Source organism: Homo sapiens, chromosome 1 (assembly GCF_000001405.40).
Source record: "Homo sapiens chromosome 1, GRCh38.p14 Primary Assembly".
Classification (NCBI taxonomy): Eukaryota; Metazoa; Chordata; class Mammalia; order Primates; family Hominidae; genus Homo; species Homo sapiens.
In genome coordinates this window covers 174,933,902-174,955,674 of record NC_000001.11, presented here as the reverse complement: position 1 = coordinate 174,955,674, position 21,773 = coordinate 174,933,902, and the positions used below count along the sequence as shown (strand labels likewise).

The window sequence follows — 21,773 nt, the reverse complement described above, 5'->3', positions numbered from 1 at the left end:
CTGCCATAATACCTAGCAGTATTTGGCTCATACTAGGCCCTCAACAGATTGTTCCTTGTTGAGTTTAAAATATGGTATTTAGAAAACATATACATATGAGTGAGAGAGCAAAAGAGAATGGAAAGCATCTAGCATGAATATAAAATTATCTCACAATTTCCTTATTTTCATTAAAATGAGGACAGTACTAATTCTCTGGCATCTGGCCAGATAATTTGTTACATAAAAAACAAAGACTCCAGGTGTCATTCCCCATCTTATTCTAATTACTTTGTTCTTCTTATCCAGGAACACTATGAAGTACTAGAATTATCTGCTTCTCACCACAATTGGGAAGTTTCACAAACTCAGTCCAAACCTGATAGATGATAGAAACCAGTCAACAACCACATTATGAGAATATTCATCTGGCTGATGGGGGAATGTCTCCCCAGCCAAACAAGGAGTGAGGACATTTTCCAGGGTGTAACTGAATTGCAAAGCCACTGCTGAATATTGTTATGAGAAACACGAATCCTTTATTACTCCATCTCCAGAGACCTCTAACAAGTATACTGTGACCAACTAGAGTGCAATAGAAAGGAAAGCACCACCTGCCAACTGTGTAGCCTCACAGATCATTAGATAAACAAGGGAAATATACACAATCATGTGTTAACAAAACGACAACATTATTTTTCTTGGCTTTGATAGCAGTCTCAATTTCTTTTATTTTCTCTATATACATTAATCATACACTGAGAAAACCAAAAATAGACTCTGAAGATGAAGTTGCAAATCACTAGCACTAAAATAGCCCTGGAGCTATAGAAAAAGGGGAAGCTTCAGGGTTTTAAGCAGTAACAAGGTGTCTCCAATGTTTCCCTAGGAGCAGAAACAAGGGCCAAGGGGAGCAGCTAAAGGTATTGTGAGGAGAGAGCCTACTCCAGGAGCCATTTTCCCACCAGATCGGAAGTATTTCAGTATTTTTACAGCAGGAATACCATACCACTGGACACCAGGCTGAGAATTAGTTCCATGTGGAAGTATTTTCTACATGGTTCTAAAATGGATCCACTCACCAGTGACTGAATTACATACTGGAAGCTTGTGCCTAGAGAATTCTGAAACCATATTTTTAAACTTCAAACTATTATCAATTTTTTTTTACATGTAAGAGAAAAAAATGTCCTTTTAAAGGGATATTTTTACATGTCCTTTTAAAAGTCACTTTTGCTACTTATATTAAGAGGTTCATTTCAAAGTGAAACATTTTTTTAAAAAAGGCAATAACACTCTCAATAAGCTAATCCTTTCCCATCTGGCTGAGATTCTAGGATATTTGGCTTCATCTTGTTCAGGGAAACAGAGCAGGTTCCCAGAACAATATGTTGCTAGGAAACCTTCCAAGCTTATTTATCTTGTGCTGTGGGGTGATACTGAGCATCCACCTGTGTGATTGGCACAATGTGAAAGAGGGGAAAAGAGTGGAGGAGGAAGAGACAGGAGAGCTGATATGAAACTCTTGTTATTTATGAGGTAATCAAAGAAAATAGATTTTCAGTTTTTAAACCATCTTTCAGGACAAACTTGATTTTATTTTAGAGAATACTGAATGGGATTCAGACGCTTGAAATTTTTCTTTCTGGAGAAAGAAATTTAAAAACCTCTTAGGTAATTAACATTTATTGTTCCCCTTTCAGGGGGACCGTCCCCACGGATGATCAAAGGTCAGTTCCTGGTCAACATAAGTAAACAAGTTTGTTTAAGATAAATTCCCCTACACTGCCTTGTACCTACTCCTTGCCCAATGCCTCAGGGTTACAGAACAGCTGCCTTCAGCTATTCTCCCCTGGGGCTCTGCAGAACCTTCTGACCTTTCAGAAGGTTTGCGTCCTTTCCCTATAGTTTTTCCCCACCGCTCTGACCGATCTCCCACAGTGTCTGCTGATACTTTCTATTACGTTTCATCGTATTCCACAGTGATTTCACAGACCCTCTAAAATGATTTCATAACCAGCAGTTTGAAGGACACTGCACAAAATGAAATGGGCTTTTTCATCTATTCCCCTGATGATAATACTCAGAGCGTTATAATTCTAAATCACTGGAGAAGCTTTATTAACTCTACTTATCATCAATACCCTCACCTGTCATTACAGATGAGAGTGGGTCCTTGTCAGCTGTTATCAGGAAATACAAAGAATACAGCTTAATGAATTTAAGGCAAAGGGGAGTGGTTAGGGGAATGGCGAGGGAGTGTTAAACAGTGACCTTCAATAACAGTAAAAGACAGAGCACAATAATTACTCATTTGCCTTACTCTTTCTCAATATTAGCCATGCTGGCCTCAGACGGAGATATGGGAGGGGAAGACTGAAAAGAATACACCCAACTTTCTTCATTCTCCATGTTTTCTCTCTTCTTCTCATTTGAGGTGTTTATTTCATATTTGTATATATGACTCTTTCAGACTGAATATATATTAATCATGTTGTATAACAATAATTATCGGAAGAATTTGCCTTAATAATGTTCATCTCACTAATCATATCAACCAGTGATATCACCCTATTTTGTATTCTTACTTTCATATCTTATTTTGAATACTTACTAATATTTGAATTTCACATGCATTAGTTCTTTTTTTTTTTTTTTTTGCATGCCACCCATGCCTAGCTAATTTTTGTATTTTATTTGAGATGGAGTTTCCCCATGTTGGCCAGGCTGCTCTTGAACTCCTAACCTCAAGTGATCTGCCCTCCTCAGCCTCCCAAAGTGAGTTATTTCTAATAAAACTTATTTTGGCCAGGTGTGGTGGCTCATGCCTATAATCCCAGCCCTGTGGGAAGTCAAGGTGGGTGGATCACTTGAGTTCAGGAGTTCAAGACCAGCCTGGACAAAATGGTGAAAACCTGTGTTTACAAAACATACAAAAATTAGCTGAGCATCGTGGCACATGCCTGTAGACCCAGCTACTTGGGAGGCTGAGGTGGGAGGATCACCTGAGCCTGGGAGGCTGGGTTGCAATGAGGTAAAATCATGCCACTGCACTCCAGCCTAGGTGACAGAGTGAGACCCTGTCTCAAAATAAAACAAACAAATAAAAACATATTTATTTGCTTACATATAAGATTTGGTTAAGTTTCCTGATTATCAAACTCAATCATCATTTTTTTTTTTAAGAGACAGGGTCTTGTTCTGTTGCTCAGGCTGGAGTGCAGTGGCGCAATCACAGCACACTGCAGCCCCAAATTCCTGGACTCAGGTGATCCTCCCACCTTAGCTTCCTGAGTAGCTGGGACTATAGGGGCACACCACCATGCCTAGCTTTTTTTTTTTTTTTTTTTTTTTTTGGTAGAGCCAGGGTCTCACTATGTTGCCCAGGCTGGTCTCAAAATCCAAGGCTCAAGCAATCTTCCCACCTCAGCCTCCCAAAGTGCTGGGATTACAGGTGTGAGCCACCAGGCCTGGCCCAAACAAGATCTTTGTACATTTAGGAGTTCAAGGGCTTTGTTTATTTAGGAGTTCAAGGGCTTTGTATATTTAGGAGTGCTTTTCAACACCGCAGATCTTAAACTTCGGATCATAATGAACAGAATAATAGAACTCTTAAATAACAAATTTGAAACTCACTGTAGTAACTTGAAAAGAACTTACACACAGAAAAGAGAAATAACAGAATACATACGTAAAGATTTTTCAAGTTGATCTATGCTCTGTAATATATATGGCATGATCTTTGGCATATTCTGACTTTATGAAATAGTATATTAATTTTGTGAAAAGTTGGTTTTGCATTTTAGTAGAGAAAAGACCCTGGGCACTACCAGTGTTTCTCAAGGTAAGATATTATTGGCATTTTGGGTGGAATAATTTTTGGTGTAGACTCCGCTCTCCATTTCTGAGCCCATGGCATCCCTGGGCCCATTTATGATTTCACCTATTAAATGTCAGTAGCGGCTGCCTGTCACTGTGACAAACAGGATGCCTACAAACCTTTCTAAACCAGGTGTGGATGTTGGGGGCTGGTAGGTTTGAGGGGTACATGCTTGAGAAGATGTGGGATTCATACTAAAAGCCTCTGAGCTAAACTATCAATAAAGACAAGAAGAGAGGCCTGGACCAGTGTGCAAGGTTTTTAGCACTGCATTGATGTATTCAGATGTCCACTTCCCTCTGCTTTGTTATTGGTTAGCAGTAATTGCCACTAAGTATGTAATTCCTTCAAGTCAAAAAATTTCCTAACAGTTTTAAGCCTATTAATTTAGAAAAATCTATATTTAATCCTGCCAGCAACTCCATGAGGGAAGTATTATTTGGATTTTACAAATAAGTTGAGGATAGGTAACTTGCCCAAGATCATACAGAAATGAAATCCAGTTGGCCTCCAGAGCCTGCCCTCTTTAACCACTTTGCTCTACTGCCTGGGACCAGATGATTAAAGTAAAGCTGCTCAAGAAGCTGACAGTCTAGACGTAGTGCCAAATATGTGTCTAGTTATCATCTAGTTTCATAAGCGCAATAACAGATATTTATAAAAGGTACAAAGATGATCAAGAAGAAATTTGTGGGACAGAGGGTTGGAGAGGGAGAAGCACCTCAGTGAGGAGGATTTTCATGATGACTGGTTTATGCAAGCTTCCTTGCCCAGTTAAAACACAGAGCATTTCTCCTGTGCTCAGTTTTAACATTGGGCCAGTCACTTGTAAGAGCTATCATTCAGGGTTTGATGAATCTGCTTCTGTAATTCAGAAATGAAAGATACAAAAATATTAATTTATGGATGCAAATACTGGTAAAGTACATCACTGTGTTTTTCTTTTTTAAAGGCTGATATGACCCAAGTTAACATTTTCAGAAGTGAAGATTCCTGGTGCTCAGTTCAGGTGCCTAGAAAATTAATAGGCCAAAGGTGCTAGCCATTATGTGCTACTCTTGCTCACTTCAGACAGTTTCTTAGGATGAATATAAATTATCTCATTTAATATATTAATCAATGGACAGAGAAAAAATAGAAATGTAATATAGTATCACTTTCCTTGGAAATTTGGGGGTTACTGAGAGTTTCCAAGTCAGAGTCACAGTTATTTTTGCAAGGACTTATCAAGATCTGGACATAAAGTGGATCAGTGGCAACCAAAATTCTAACAGTTTGCAGTAGTATAATGCACTCGAGAAGAAACAGATGAAAAGGAATCAGGAGAAGGCATCCATCAAGAGGAGGAACACGCCCTATAGGCTTCACTTAATCCTCTTCATAGTGGTCAGCAAAAGAAGTCACTTTGACTCCTTTTAAGCTTTTAGCACTAGGAGGAGAGGGAACATATTAAACAATGATATTTTGCCCCATGTGTCTTGGGTGCAGGAGGAAACCTTCAGAGAATGTTAGAGCCTGTAAATGATTATTAGTTGTATTCTAATACTTAAGGAACATAATGGTTTAAGGGGGTGGGGACAAAGGACATACTTCTCTCTTGCAACTCTAACATAATTTCCAAGGCTTCTTACAGACATCAAATTCCCAGGCATTCTCCTCCTGAATTCATACTAACATACAATCTATGGTGCTGTACTTGTTTTAATCTCATCTGACATGTCTAGCTTTCCCAATTACTCAATCCTAGTGGTGTGCACACTTGTGACATGTACCTGGACCTTTATTCATGAATACTTATATGACATGAGCCACTTTCCAATGTTTGTGGCTTACTCCAGAATGTAGCATGCTCATCAAAGTATCTTTGAGAGCTTCTGAAATACTGATTTGTACTTTATTTGCCACATTCTAGTATAAGCTGTGGTCCCAATGCTGTAGCAATTTTGGGAGACTTGCATTTTATAGAATCTGCTTACCTGTTCATTTTTAATTCCTCATCTTCAGTCCTGTAAGTCTAATCTTGTATAATATTTTTGTGGAACTCCTTGGCACTTCTGCTTTAGATATTTCCTATCAATAAATAATATCTGGAGGTAGAGGAATTTCTGTACTATGTGTTGACAACTCCTAAATTTATAGTTTTCTGCCCAGAACTTCTACTAAGCTTAGCCTGCATATCCAATTGTGAACTTCCTATCATCATTTGGATGGTTAACATTCAAGATATTTAAACCTGGACTAATACCCCACCTTCTACCCCCAATTTGTTCTTCTCCCACTGTTCATCTTCCATCCAGAAGCTCAAGCCAGAAACCCACAAGTCACCATTGTCTGCTCCCCCAACCAATGCTCAGGCAATCCATCACTAGATTCTATACTGTACGCCTCAAAAATATCTATCTTGTTTTTCTTTTAAACTTCACTGGCAATGCCCAATTCAAGGCATAATCACCTTTCATCAGAACTAGTGCCATAAATTCCAAAGTGGACTCCCCATGTTCATAGTTGCTGTACTAAATCTTTTTGCTATTGGGCAGCCAAAGTAATTTTTTCCAGGATGCAAATCTGACATCATTTTCCTTCCTAACATTTTCCAATTGCTTCCTATTGCACTTAGGATAGAGAAATACTTGGCTCTGCTGGTCCTACAGAATCTAGTCTCTATCTACCTTCCCTTCACTCTCTTTGCCTATATTTTGCAAAAGTGTGGTTTGTCCATCCCAGAAAGTACATAAAACTATCCAAATAGGTACAGAAAGCAAAAGGTGATTATTAGAATTTCATGTTCTGTTTTTAGAATATGAAAATAGTCAGGAAGGACTATTTTTATTTCATCTTTTAAAAAATATTTGTGCTTATTGTAGTACAGGTGGCTAATTTATTTAAAAATGAATATACATATATTGGTGGTATCGGCTCATATGACTTTCATTCACAAGGATCACAATCAAGAGTTTAAAGACAACCGGTCTCTGCTCCAGCCACACAGGACTTCTTCTAGTACCTTTACTACATCATGCCTCCCCTGCCTCAGGCTTCTGCTGGGATGGATCGAGCACATTCACCCTAAAATTCTGATTCAGAAGATCTGAGGTATGATCAGTCACCTTTATCTTTTTTTTAATCTTAATATTTGTGGATACATAGTAATTTAATCTATATATGGGGTACAAGAGATAGTTTGAAACTGGCATGTAATGTGTCATAATCAAATCAGGTAAAATGGGGTAGCGATCCCCTCAAGCATTGATCCTTTGTGTTACAAAGAATCCAGTTACACTCCTTTTTTTTTTTTTTTTTTTTTTTGAGGCAGGGTCTCGCTCTGTGGCTGCGGCTGAAGTGCAGTGCCGCTCACTGTAGCCTCGACCTCCTGGGCTCAAGTGATAGTCCCACCTCTTAGCCTGTAGCTGGGACTACAAGCACCCGCCACCATACCTGGCTAATTTTTTGTATTTTTTGTAAAGACAGGGTCTCGCTATGTTGACCAGGCTGGTCTTGAAACCCTGGGCTCAAGTGATCTGACCTCCTCAGCCTCCCAAAGTGCTGGGATTACAGATGTGAGCCACTGCACCCAGCCCAATTATACTCTTTTAGTTATTTTTAAATGTACAATTAATTATTATTGACTATAGTCATCCTGCTGCGCTATCATACACGAGGTCTTACTCATTCTTTCTCATTTTTTTTTTGTTCAAGTACCTTTATCTTTACAAAGCTACTCAGGCAGTTTTGATATACTGTCCATCTGAAAACCACTGAACTAAACATTAAGCACTAGAAAGGGAGAAGAGACAGGCTAGAGAAGCTTTTATGAATTGGCCTGAGAACACAACCACCACTTCCTAAGGGAATATCCATTCTGAGTTTCAAACAACCAATTTATACATAAATTTTAGGAGAGAAGAAATTTGTAAGATCAGGAAGGACTATTTTAGTGTCCCAAAATATTTCAAGAATCTATTTATATAAGCAGCTTGGATATAAGAATAAAATCAAGTTTTAAAGAAGAGAAAAACCATATTCTTCGAGCACAATTATTTGAACAGCAGTTTCTCTTTGATACTTTATTTGAGGTGGTTTAGAAATTAAACAGGCTGGCTGGGTGCGGTGGCTTACACCTGTAATCCCAGCACTTTGGGAAGCTGAGGCAAGTAGGTCACCTGAGGTCGGGAGTTTGAGACCAGCCTGGCCAACATGGTGGAACCCCATCTCTACTAAAAATACAAAAACATTAGCCAGGCACAGTGGCTCATGCCTATAATCCCAGCTACTCGGGAGGCTGAGGCAGGAGAATCGCTTGAACCCAGGAGGCTGAGGCTGCAGTGAGCCAAGATCGCGGCATTGTACTCCAGCCTGGGTGACAGGAGCGAAACTCCATCTCAACAAAAAAACGAAAGAAAGAAAGAAATTAAACAGGCTTGGCTGGGCATGGTAGCTCACGCCTGTAATCCCATAATCCCAGCACTTTGGGAGGCTGAGGCAGGTGGATCACCTGAGGTCAGGAGTTTGAGAGTTTGAGACCAGCCTGATCAACATGGTGAAACCCTGTCTCTACTAAAAATACAAAAATTAGCTCAGTGAAACTGTCTGAAAAAAAAAAAAAGAAAAAAATTAAACACGCTTGCATTTGAAAACTTTCTCTGCCAAATACTAGCTATATAATTTTATGAGCAATTTACTTAAACCTCTTACTCAGAACTTGAATTGTTTATGTTTTGTAATAGGGTAACACAAACAACTACGATGACCATCTCCTTTAATTGAGCACAAAATGCATGCTGCAGCACTGACCTAAGCACTGAACACATACATACATATATATATACATATATATACACACACACACACACACACACACACACACACACACACACATATATATATATATATATATATATTTTTTTTTTTTTTTTTTGAGATGGAGTCTCGCTCTTTTGCCCAGGCTGGAGTGAAGTGGCATGATCTCGGCTCACTGCAACCTCTGCCCACTGAGTTCAAGCGATTCTCCTGCCTCAGCCTCCCGAGTAACTGGGATTACAAGCGCCTGCCACCACACTTGGCTAATTTTTGTATTTTTAGTAGAGATGGGGTTTTACCATGTTGGCTAGGCTGGTCTCAAACTCCTGACCTCAGGTGATCCACCTGCCTCGGCCTCTCAAAGTGCTAGGATGACAGGCGTGAGCCACAGTGCCCAGCCATCATTTAGCATTTTTTATATTTCTTAAGCCTCACAAAGAAACTGGGTGTTACTATATCCGTTTTATAAATTGAGTAAACCAAGAAAGACTAAGTAACACACACAGGCCCTATAATAATGACAGACCCTATAGGCTTTTGTTTTAAGAGATTGGGTCTCACTATGTTGCCAGGCTGGCTATGAACTCCTGGGCTCAAGAAGTCCTCCTGACTCAACCTCCCAAGTAGCTGGGACTACAGGAACATGCCCCTGCACCCAGCTACCCAAAAGGTCTTTTTGACACCAAAGTTAAAGCCTTAGTCATACACTATGTTACATGACTATCATCTACATTGCCTGTCATCTAGCCAACATGCATAGCTCTCAAACCTAGGACCTTTGATAAGCCTCGTCAGTAGCCTGCAGCAGTTAACTGAGCTAATCAGCTCAAGGATGGAGGTGCTGTTAATGCATAACTGAGAGGTAATGAACCTAAGATATCTGCCACATTACCAGGCATAACGTAGGAGATTAAAAAGAAAAAAGAAAAAGAAAGAATACCTTTACTTTAATCTTTCTGGGCAAGCTAGGAAAAAAAAAAAAGAGAGAGAGAGAGAGACAGATAGCCAAATAGACTCTGGGGTGGTTGAATCAGGAATTTAACTCTAGGAGAAGCCTGCTTAAAATTCCATAAAGTCTTAAGAGGGGGCAGACTGAAAATAATATATTTTTCCTCCTCTCACAGCCTTCTGAAAAAAAAGCATTGAGAGCATAAACCACTCAGAAGATTTATAGCTTAAAGCAGATCACCTTAAGGTACTGGAATCAGTCAGTGCTTAGATGGAACATTTTTTGAGGCCTACATCTTCACTGAGTGCCCTTCTTCTCTATTTCCTATACTTCCTTGTTTCTTTCTGTTCCCACTGCATCCCTTATGGATTTGTACAAATAATGCTGGGTTCTTTTCTTCACCCACATGCAGCAGTTGCTGCTGGATCATAACCATTCCTTCTATTGGTTTTAAAATCTGTTTTTCTCAGATTCCTTACACTTGAAGGAAAAAAAAAAAGGACATTTAGCCTGTTTTTCTTTTAAGCAATAAAAATTCTTCTCTCACTGTATTGATTATTCTCAATGTGGGGCTAAATTATGCAAATTCTGATTCTTTTCCTCTTTGCAAAAATTAAGAAGCAATAATATCAAGTTAGTATACCATGTTGGATGTTTTTTATTTCTTTTGGGGGAGGTGCTCAAAATCCATTGTAAATCTCAAGTAGAAATCCATTTGTAAATAAGTTTTTGGTTAGAAATTTATCACTTAAAAATTTTAGTACAGTATTTGGAGAGTAATGGAATGACTACCAAGCACTAAAAATTGAGACAGTAAGATGGCAAGCATTAAATCTGGTTACATGTTGAATTGTATTGGTGTGATTCCAGGGAGTAGAATAAACAGATATAGTTCCAAAATTGGACCACAGAAAGCTGATACAGCTGTGCATTCAGAGTGAGTTAATTAAACTATTTGAACACAGACAATAAGAGAGGAGAGAAAGAATGATGGGAAAACCAAGTAGGACACTGTTCTCTATTATTATCAAGTGTTAACTTCATTATCATAGTACTGGCCTTTCCACCATAAAATGCTAAGAAACCTGAAGCATTACTTTTATGTCAATTGTCGCTGGCAATTAGATCAAAAGTAAATACATGTCGCTTGCTAAAAATACAAGAGACAGAAGGCTGTAGACATTTATGCTCTAAGAAATTTAATTTGAAACTAATGTATAAGACAACCTGAGTAAATCTGACTTTAGAGAGATTCAACTTTACTATACCAGATTATATGAGAAGAACAAACAGTGGAAAAGAAAAATGGGGAATTTTACTGTATTCATCCATCTATAAAGACAGTAAGTAGAACTGGTTAAAAGTCATCACTAGCAATATTAAATTGCATGAAGATTGCACTGACTTTTTTTTTTTTTTTTTTTTAATTTTTTGAGACAGGGTCTCACTCTGTTGCTCAGGCTGGAGTGCAGTGGTGCAATCACAGCTCACTTCAGCCTTGACTTTCCAGGCTCAAGAAATCCTCTCACCTCAGCCTCCTGAGTAGTTGGGACCACAGGTGTAAGTCACCAAGCCTGGCTGATTTCTTTGTAGAGGTGGGGTTTCACTGTGTTGCCCCAGCTGGTCTTGAACTCCTGGGCTCAAGTGATCTGTACACTTTGGCCTCCCAAAGTGCTGGCATTACAGGTGTAAGCCACTACACCTGGCCTTGAATTGCTATTTTTATACATCAACTTTTTAGCTTGGGAAGAAAAGCTTATCCATACAACTTTGCTTTTTTTTTTTTTTTTTTTTTGAGACAGTCTTGTTCTGTTGCCCAGGCTGGAATGCAGTGGAGTAATCTTGGCTCACTGCAAGCTCCACCTCCTGGGTTCAAGCGATTCTCCGGCCTCAGCCTCCCGAGTAAGTAGCTAGGATTACAGGTGCACACCACCACACCTGGCTAATTTTTTTATACTTTTAGTAGAGACAGGGTTTCGCCATGTTGGCCAGGCTGGTCTTGAACTCTTGACCCCAAGTGATCCGCCCACCTAAGCCTTCCATAGTGCTGGGATTATAGGCGTGAGCCATTGCATCTGGCCACAACTTGGCATTTCTAAAAATGATTTATTCATTCACTCACTCAACAAATATTTATTTACTATTTACTATGTAGCAGGTAAAGCCGTCCTGGAACAAAGGCACAGTCTATCCCCTGGAGGAGTTTACAGTCTGGTGGGGAGAAAGTCTTTTTTTTTGAGATGGAGTCTCGCACTGTCGCGCCGGCTGGAGTGCAGTGGCGTGATCTCGGCTCACTGCAACCTCCACCTCCTGGGTTCAAGGGTTTCTCCTGTCTCAGCCTCCTGAGCAGCTGGGATTACAGGTGCCCGCCACCACATCTGGCTAATTTTGTATTTTTAGTAGAGACCAGGTTTCACCATGTTGGCCAGGCTGGTCTCGAACTCCTGACCTCGTGATCCGCCTACCTCAGCCTCCCAAAGTGCTGGGATTACAGGCATGAGCCACCGCACCCAGCCTGGGATAAAGTCTTAAAAGAAATAATCACAATATAAATAAATACTGTATTTACAAAGTAAGTTAAGTGCTCTGAGGGAGAAGAAAATGTGGAGGGATACTAATACATGGCTCTAATTTTTATTGCTTCTCTGAGGAATGACAATGAAGCTGAGCCTTGAAGAGTAGGTTAGCCAGTGAGGATTAGGGAGAAAGGGTGTTCCAGGCACAGGGAACAATGAGCACAGGATGACCAAGAGCAAGACCGGCTACATAATTTGCAGGCTCAGTGCAAGATAAAAATTGAACACAAAAACTAAGAATTTCAAGCTAGTGATAGAGCATTCAACCAAGTATGAGGACCTATGTGACTGCACAGGTCACACACACATCAAGCCAGTTTTGGAAAAGGATGCATGTTTAAGGGACTTAAGGCCAGTTGCTGGAGCACAGTGAGGAGAGGGATTGCTAGCTGAAGAGTACGAGAGGTACACAGGAACCAGTCCAAGGTGCAGGGCCTCCAGGGACCAACCTCACAGAGGTTCATAGTTTCCCCAAATAGTTAGCAAAGAGCTATTGTGTAAGCAAGGCTGTTATGTAATCATTCTGCTGGGTGCTGAGAGGAAGACAAAGAAGATAGTTTCTGCTTTTAAGGAGCTTACAAATAATTATATAATTTAGGGTAGAATGTGACAGGTTCCACAAGAAAGGTATAAGCACCAATATTTGGGGGCTTCAAGGCATTAAGATTACTCAGTTGGAGGCGGAGAACTGCAAAGCACACAGACAGAAGGACTGCACACTGACTGAAATTAGCATACTTCTGCCTTTGGAGCTATGATTTAACCATATCACTGCAGGAACAGCAAACACATCCAGCACTTCCTATGTGCCAGGCACTGAGTGCTATATGCTTTACATGTATGAATTCATTTTAGCCTCACATCTCTGAAGTAGGTGCTGTTCTATCATCTTCATTTTACAGAAGAAGAACAAAGGCACAGAAAGGTTAAATAGCTTGCCCAAGGCCACACAGCTAGTAAAGTGGGGATTAATTTGAACCCAGGCAGTCTGGGTTTAATATCCTTGCTTTGAACTATTATACTATACTATCATCTTACTAACATTAAATGTTTTATTTTGCTTTGTTTTTTAAATCTGTGTGCTATAATTGCACCTCCTTTACTTTTCTCCTGGTGTACTTGGTTAGTTATATATACTGCTTCAAATTGGCTAGGAAATATAGAACAAGAGAAATAACTGCCCTAAATATTTGTCCTTCTTTATTATCTAGAGCCAGATTTGGCCGAACAGCAGTATGAAATACATTTAGGTATGAGTTTCTGAAAGAAGACAACATAGACAGCACTACTTTCCTCTGCTGTTGACATCAGTCCCAGTGTGTCTTTGCACTAATGGCTAACTAGAGCCATGTAGTTATGGACAATTACTCCTGACTCCCTTAGAACTATGAACAGTGAATTAATGGAACTCTAAGAACTCACACATTGGCTCCCAGTGTCCCTATGACCCAAAGCTGGATCTGTTCCTTACAGAATTGGTAAGTACATGCATGTGCTCATTATAATAAATATCTACTGTGTACAAGACACTATGCCACATGCTATGTGGGATACAAAGAAAGTTATGACACAGTCCTTTCATCAAGAAACTTACAATAAATTTTAAAATTTTATTAATGCCATAACAGAAATATAAGCCTCATTCTATGATGGTGTAGAGGAGAATGAGTTCACAAATCCATCAGGAAATTTAGGATAGACTTTAAGGAAGAGATAGCATGTAAGCATCGTCCTGGAGGGAGGTTTTGCTATTGACCATTCCGAAGTGTCAGGGTTTTGTTTTGTTTTGTTTTGTTTTGTTTTGTTTCGTTTTGGTGGGGGAGGAGGAGGGTATATATCAGTGCCTCCAAAGACTGAAGACAGGCATGGCCATAGGTCTCCTCACTACCTTTCTACCAGGTAGGAAGCATCTTCTGTTAGGTGATAGTCAACAGGCCCGAACAGTGCTCTGCCTCGGGTGACACTGTGCAGGCATTAGGCTACCTGGCTTGCCAGAATCTTATGAGCAATTCATGTGCCAGAGGAACCTGTATGGTATTTCTAATCAATCCAATTTGAAATTATTTCTGACATCCTTTATGCTAACTAGAAAACTCTCTGGTGTAGATTTAAAGATAAGCAGGTTAAATTTACAGTAGTTATCTCCTCATTAGGGTATTTCCAATGCCAAACAACTACCCTTACACTATGTATTCCCTTATCAGTGTTTCAAATGTTAATCACTCACATCCAAGGTGTAGACTAACTAACACGCTGTGTAGACTGGGGTGTTTTAATGTAAATTACAGATTGTATTACAGTAGGATAGGGCTATGAGAGGGGTATAGGGAGGGACAAGAAGTTCCAGATGGAAGGAACAACTTGTTATTGCTTCTATCTTTCCTCATACCTAAAGGAAACTTCTGTAAGCAAAGGCATGGAGCTACAAAATGTGGGCCTACTGAATGTGCTAAGCAGTTCTGTTTGGGTGAGGAGCTAGATGACCTGGCATAAGGTACCTGCAGAGCAGGCCGGAAGGAATACACTGAAGCCAGAATGAAGACTGTCTAGGTTGCTGCCAATCGCTGAAAGCATGAACCTATTTTGGTAGTTGCTAGCTCAGTGACCATATTTTCTGAAATAAAAACCAGGCAGATGGTCTTAACAGATGTTTGCATCCATTCTGGATATGAGAAGCAATTTGGAATATGAAAGAACCTAAAATAATAAAAGTTTTTGGATTGTTTTGGTAGCCAGGCTTATGAGGCAGAATATCTGACGTTAGAACTGTCTTTTAAAAGAAAAATCTTGTCACAATGATGTGAAGAGATCACTGAGGTTTTAAAATAGTAAAAGGATCAAGACTGGTTTTACAAATATGAATCTGGAAATCATGTATATGCTAAAGTAGAAGGGAAGATAAAGAAAAGAAGAAAGGGTTAGGTGCAGTGGCTCACGCTTGTGATTCTAGTATTTTGGGAGGCTGAGATGAAAGGATCACTTGAGCTCAAGAGTTCAAGACCAGCCTGGGCAACAAAGCGAGACCCCATCTCTACAAAAAATTTTAAAAAAAAATTAGCCAGGCATGGTCAGTGGTATGTGCCTGTAGTCCCAGCTACTCCAGAGGCTGAGGCAGAAGAATCCCTTAAGCCCATAAGTTTGAGGTTGCAGTGAGCTATGATTGATCGTGCAACTGCATTCCAGCCTGGGTGACAGAGCAGGATCCTGTCTCAGAAAAAAAAAAAAAAGAAACAAACAAACAAACAAAAGGAGAAAGGTAGCAATTGAAAGGACATTTAGGAAGTTATGAAAATAAATCAGGAGAAAGGGACTTTGTGAAAAAGGTGACAGTAGAAAGGGAAAGGAAACAAGTTTTCCTAGTCATGGGAATCAGTCTATGTCACTCATGTAATAATCACATATGGCTGTTATGAGCTATTCCTGGGGTATGAATTTTCCAAACTCCATTGGGATGCCTTAAGGAAAAAATTCTGCCTTACTTACAGTTGGTATCTACTGCAACCTAACATAAAGCTGAATACTTAGTAGATGCCTAAAGCAGATTTACTCAATTACACATATTCTTACTGTCTCATGATTCAAATGGAATTTGTTAATTAGTTAAATGTTGGAATAAAAGAAACAGATAAAGACTATGCCCATACATTTTCCTCAAGTACGGGTGTTACAGGAAATATGTGATGACACAGAGCTGATAAGTGGAAAAACATAGAAATGCATTTAACATAGGATATTCTTGTTACCTAAATGAGAAAATTGTGATAACCAATTAAATTTGGAAGTTTTCTCTGATATGTTTGACAGAGCCAATAATTACCTCTGTTCTGTGGGGCAATTTCTAAAATAATGCATAAGAATAAGACTATTTGAGAAGACCTTTTATACTATGCAATTGGAGCATTCCCTAAATCAAAACTCATTTCTTTTTTTCTTTTTTTTTTTTTTTGTGAGACAGAGTCTCGCTGTATCACCCAGGCTGGCGCAATCTCAGCTTACTGCAACCTCCGCTTCTTGGGTTCAAGCAATTCTTCTGCCTCAGCCTCCCAAGTAGATGGTAACAGGCACGCACCACCACACCCAGCTAATTTTTGTACTTTTTTAGTAGAGACGGGGTTTCGCCATGTTGGCCAGGCTGGTCTCAAATTCCTCATCTGAAGTGATTTGCCTGCCTCAGTCTCCCAAAGTGCTGGGATTACAGGCATGAGCCACTACACCTGGCCCAAAATTCATTTCTTTAATCTTGGATAGAACAAACATGAGAGGAAAGTTAGAACACCAAGCTTGCTAGATTTTTAACACATAAACAACAGATATATACCTATCAATCAAAGTATGTTCAAGATAATTCTCATTTCAGAAAAAAAGGTAATATCAAACTTTCTAAAAATTGATTTAAAAAAATCGAATCATTTTTTAAGTACAGAGTAAATCAAATGAGAATCTATCTGAAATTAGGCTTGGCCAAACACAAGTAAAGGAAAGACCCTAAGATTAGCTTATTTTGTGTGCCTCTTTAAGGTCCATCTACTGCAGTTTACACATAAACGATTGCTCTTCAAAGTCTGGGGTGGGGTGTTATTTATGTTCCCATTTCTATGGAAACTGTGGGGAGGCATGAAAAATATGGTATGGGAAAATGTGTATTTCAACCCTCACTTCCCTTCTATGCGTCCAGCCCAGCCCTCCTCATTTCCAGGGGAACAGGAGTTGAAAGACCTCTGGCAGCTGAAAGTAAAAGCTCACTAACAGATTGCAGCTGTTTGACTGTCAGCTGAGAACTGCAAATGACAGTTTATCACGGCCGTTAAAATTTTTAAATGATGTTTTCCCTAATAAATCCCCCACTGTAATAATTTACAAGGGGGAAACTGACTATATAACTAGCGCAAGGAAAAACACTCAATGGGATCTTCTGAAGCCGAGTCTGTTGCTGTCTTTCATAATTCCAATGTCTTTGATCATTTTTCAGAGAATGACTGCAATAGGAAACACAGTGAAATCAAAAGTACCCTCATCAACTCACTCTGTCACAAACTTCCTCCAAATGGTGGGTGTGGAAAAAGTACTGGGTAACTAATTAAACTGAGGATGGATGGAGAAAGGGAAAGAGAGGGAGGAAGAATCTAATTTAACATTTAAACACTATTTAATTATATTTTATTACAAGAAACTATGTGAAGATGTCAGCTACCCACAGGGTGGGAACACTAAGCCTGGTGAATGTGGTAAAATCTAGACATAAGCCTTAGCAGAGAAATCTACAGACATACAGTATTGCTATCCAAATCACCTGAATTCAAGTAGTGAGGTATACCTGTATTTCTTTAGTAATTGAAAAGGACAGGCTGGAATTTGCTAAATATTACCCATTTCCCCTCTACATCCAAGGGCTTTGGAATACATATGTAAAATTATTTATAGATGGAAATCTGTGTTATATGCTTTTAGCTCAAGGGAAATATACTCATTAATAACCTGAAATGTGACAGGCACGGTGGCTCATGCCTGTAATCCTAGCACTTTGGGAGGCTGAGGCGGGCAGATCACGAGGTCAGGAGTTTGAGACCAGCCTGACCAACATGATGAAACCCCATCTCTACTAAAATACAAAAAAAAGAAAGAAAAAAAAATTAGCTGGGCTTGGTGGCGGGCGCCTGTAATCCCAGCTACTTGGGAGGCTGAGGCAGGAGAATCACTTGAACCCGGGAGGTGAAGGTTGCAGGGAGCTGAGATCGTGCCACTGCACTCCAGCCTGGGTGATAAAGCAAGACTCCATCTCAAACAAACAAACAAACAACAAAACAAAACAAACCAGCACCAAGCACTGTAATACATTTATGACAGTTTCTAACTGCAAGATATATATATATATATTTAATGAAGTATTGCTATTTAAAAATTAATCTTGGGCTGGATGCGGTGGCTCATGCCTGTAATCCCAGCACTTTGGGAGGCCGAGGCAGGTGGATCGCCTGAGGTTAGGAGTTTGAGACCAGCCTGGCCAACATGGTGAAACCCCATCTCTACTAAAAATGAAAAAAATCAGCGGGGTGTGGTGGCGGGCACCTATTATCCCAGCTACTTGTGAGGCTGAGGCAAGGAAATTGCCTGAACCAGGGAGGCAGAGGTTGCAGTGAGTCGAGATCACACCATTGCACTCCAGCCTGGGCAACAAGAGCAAAACTCTGTCTCAAAAAGAAAAAAAAATTAATCTTGGCTGGGCTTGGTAGCTCACGCCTGTAATCCCAGCACTTTGGGAGGCCGAAGCGGGTAGATCACCTGAGGTCAGGAGTTTGAGGCCAGCCTGGCCAACACGGTGAAACCCTATCTCTACTAAAAATACAAAAATTACCCGGGCGTGGTGGCAGGAGCCTGTAGTCACAGCTGCTCAGGAGGCTGAGGCAGAAGAATCGCTTGAACTCAGAGGTGGAGGTTGCAGTGAGCCGAGATCATACCACTGCACTCCAGCCTGGGCAACAGAGCAAGGCTCCATCTCACAAAAAAAAAAAAAAAAAAAAAAAATTAATCTTATAAAAATTATGGTCCTTCCTCATTCTCACTACAGACCTTGATGTATATGACAGTTGTCCTAAGACAATTTTTTCAAATGTCACTTATAGTGTAACATGTAATTATATAATTGAAGCTATAAAATGCAAATTAATAATTAAAAAAAGAAAGTGATTTATATAAACATGGGATCAAAGTAATAAGCTCTGCTACTTTCTAATTCTTAGTAAAGTTTCATCTTTTCATAAGCAAATATTTACTGGCTAACATCTTGATTAAGTTAGTGTTAGGGAGCACTTTGTTGTCTCTATAAGGTGTCCAGTCATTTAGGTTCAAAACATATATCTGCCAATTCAAAGAATGCTTCAATGTATTTATTTATTTTTTGAGAAAGGGTCTTGCTCTGTTGCCCAGGCTGGAGTGCTACAGTGACATGCTCATGGCTCACTGCAGCCTTGACCTCCCAGGCTCAGGTGATCCTCCCACCACAGGAGCTGGGACTACAGACATGTGCCACCATACCAAGCTAATTTTTGTATTTTTTGTGGAGACAGGGTTTCGCCATGTTGCCCAGGCTGGTCTTGAATTCCTGGGCTCAAGCAATCTGCCTGCCTCAGCCTTCTGTGTAGCTGGCACCACAGGTCTATGCCAGCACTCCCAGCTAATTTTCTTATTTTTAGTAGAGACCAGGTCTTGCCACATTGCCCAGGCTGGTCTCGAACTACTAAGAGAATCAAGTGATTCTCTTACCTCAGCCTTTCAAAGTTGTGAGATTACCAGCGTGAGCTACTACACCCAGCAGAAGCTGCTCTTTCCTTGGTAAATATCATCATGTCCTTGGACTTTGTGTTCTCATCAATTCTAATATCAGCACTAGTGGTTGGCTTTTTTTCTGGATATATTTTCTACCCAGAAACAAAGTTAAATTTAAATCTACATACTGCAAAAACAAGTGTGCTTATCAAGACTTACTCTTTTTTTTTTTTTTTTTTTTTTTTTGGTGAGATGGAGGTTTACTCTTGTTGTCCAGGCTGGAGTGCAATGGTGCAATCTTGGCTCACCACCTCCTCTGCCTTCCAGGTTCAAGCGATTCTCCTGCCTCAGCCTTCTGAGTAGCTGGGATTACAGGCATGTGCCACCACGCTCAGCTAATTTTTTATTTTTAGTAGAGACGGGGTTTCACTGTGTTGCCCAGGCTGATCTCGAACTCCTGATCTCAGGTGATCCGCCCGCCTCGGCCTCCCAAAGTGCTGGGATTACAGGCGTGAGCCACTGTGCCTGGCCAAGATTTATTCTTTACCAACCCTCACTGGGCATATATTGACAATCAGGACTTTTACAAAATTACAAAGTGTTACAGTGTCATGGCTCTTAAGGTAATCCCACAAAAATGTTGAAATCACAAATGATAATAAATTAAAAAGTCTACTATGTTATAATTTTCAGAATTCTAAGTCTTTCATATTTCCTTTTTCAGTGTTAATGATTTTCTGAGACACATTTTCAAAGGATTATTTATAAGAACGAGACAAAATTAAGCCAAAGTCCATATTACGTGAAACTTCATCTCCTAGGCTTTGTAAATGTGAGTGGGTATATGTTTATATGTCTTGTTTCTTGTCTGGAAAAAGTCAGAAGTACTATATCTAGATATTCTCAAAACCTTAATCACATAAACTCAGAAAAAACAGAACTCAAAGATATTTACAAAAATTTTGCAGTAAGACAATAAAAGTCTCCTTGAGAACAAAGACAATGAAAAATCATAAATATCAATCACCTTTAAGAAGGGAATCAGCTTTAATTCAAGGGAATCTTTAATTTAAACTGAAACCATTTTAAAATTCAGGTTCTGTGTCCTAATTATCCCTTTTTGCTGACAGAAAAGCTAAAGGATACAGGACACATCTGACCCAGGAATCTAAGCAAGTAACATACTACCTGGCTAATCCAGTTGAGGTGAAGGTCACAATACTGAATTTGAATATGCTGTGTTCTCTACTGTAAATAAAGTATTTTGTTTATCTTTTCATGCCACTCAAGAAAAAGAGATAAAACTTTCTTATTCTCAAATTGCTTTATACGGAGCCTATCTTATTTACCTGAAATGTAAGCCTCTATGTCTATATATAAGTAAAATTTGTGAAGCATATATATGTGTATACACACACATACACACACACATATATGAATGAGATAGGGTATCACTCTGGTGCCTAGGCTGGCGTGCAGTGGTATTATCTCAGTTTACTGAAGGCATGACCTCCTGGGCTCAAGCCATTCTACCATCTTACCCTCCTGAGTAGCTGGGACCACAGGTGCATGCCACCACTAGCAGCTATTTTTTGTATTTTTTTGGGGAGATGAGGTTTTGCTGTGCTGCCCAACTGGTCTCAAACTCCTGGGCTCAAGCAACTGATCCACCTGCCTCAGCCTCCCAAAGTGCTGGGATTACACACGCGAGCCACCATGCCTGGCCTTGAAGTATATTTTTGATACTGTAGAAAACACAGCCAGTACGGGAGAGTAACAGTTCATTAACTGTACATTCTTACATCAGATGTGAGCTTAAAATAAGTAAAAACTGTACAACTTTCGGCCGGGCGTGGTGGCTCATGCCTGTAATCCCAGCACCTGGGAGGCCGAGGCAGGTGGATCACCTGAGGTCAGGAGTTCGAGACCAGCCTGACCTACATGGTGAAACCCCGTCTCTACTAAAAATACAAAATTAGCTGGGTGTGGTGGTGCATGCCTGTAACCCCAGCTACTTGGGAGGCTGAGGCAGGAGAATTGCTTGAACCCAGGAGGTGGAGGTTGCAGTGAGCTGAGATTGTGCCATTGTACTCCAGCCTGGGCAACAGAGTGAGACTCCATCTCAAAATAACAACAACAACAACAAAAAAACAAAAATGAAAACTGCAAAACTTTTATTTCTTTGATACTAATTTCTGGTCCTTCCTTTAAATATTTATTAACTGTAAGGCTTTAATTAAAATGTTTCTATACCAAAAAGACAAAGCACAGTTTAATTCGAGTATAATTCCTTGATTTTCCCTAGAGGATTGGGTTTTCCACGGATGGT

General features: G+C 39.8%; 1 protein-coding gene and 1 long non-coding RNA gene across 27 annotated transcripts in view; one reads left to right on the top strand and one right to left on the bottom strand.

Annotated features, from left to right (window-relative positions):
- RABGAP1L (RAB GTPase activating protein 1 like) overlaps positions 1 to 21,773 on the bottom strand; it is an 835,789-nt gene that overhangs the window by 39,634 nt on the left and 774,382 nt on the right. The window lies entirely within an intron of this gene.
- RABGAP1L-AS1 (RABGAP1L antisense RNA 1) lies at positions 1,414 to 20,728 on the top strand. The gene is made up of 6 exons (NR_121196.1): positions 1,414 to 1,518; positions 6,799 to 6,952; positions 9,781 to 9,851; positions 17,151 to 17,228; positions 20,169 to 20,276; positions 20,575 to 20,728. It is a non-coding gene; the product is annotated as an RABGAP1L antisense RNA 1 (long non-coding RNA).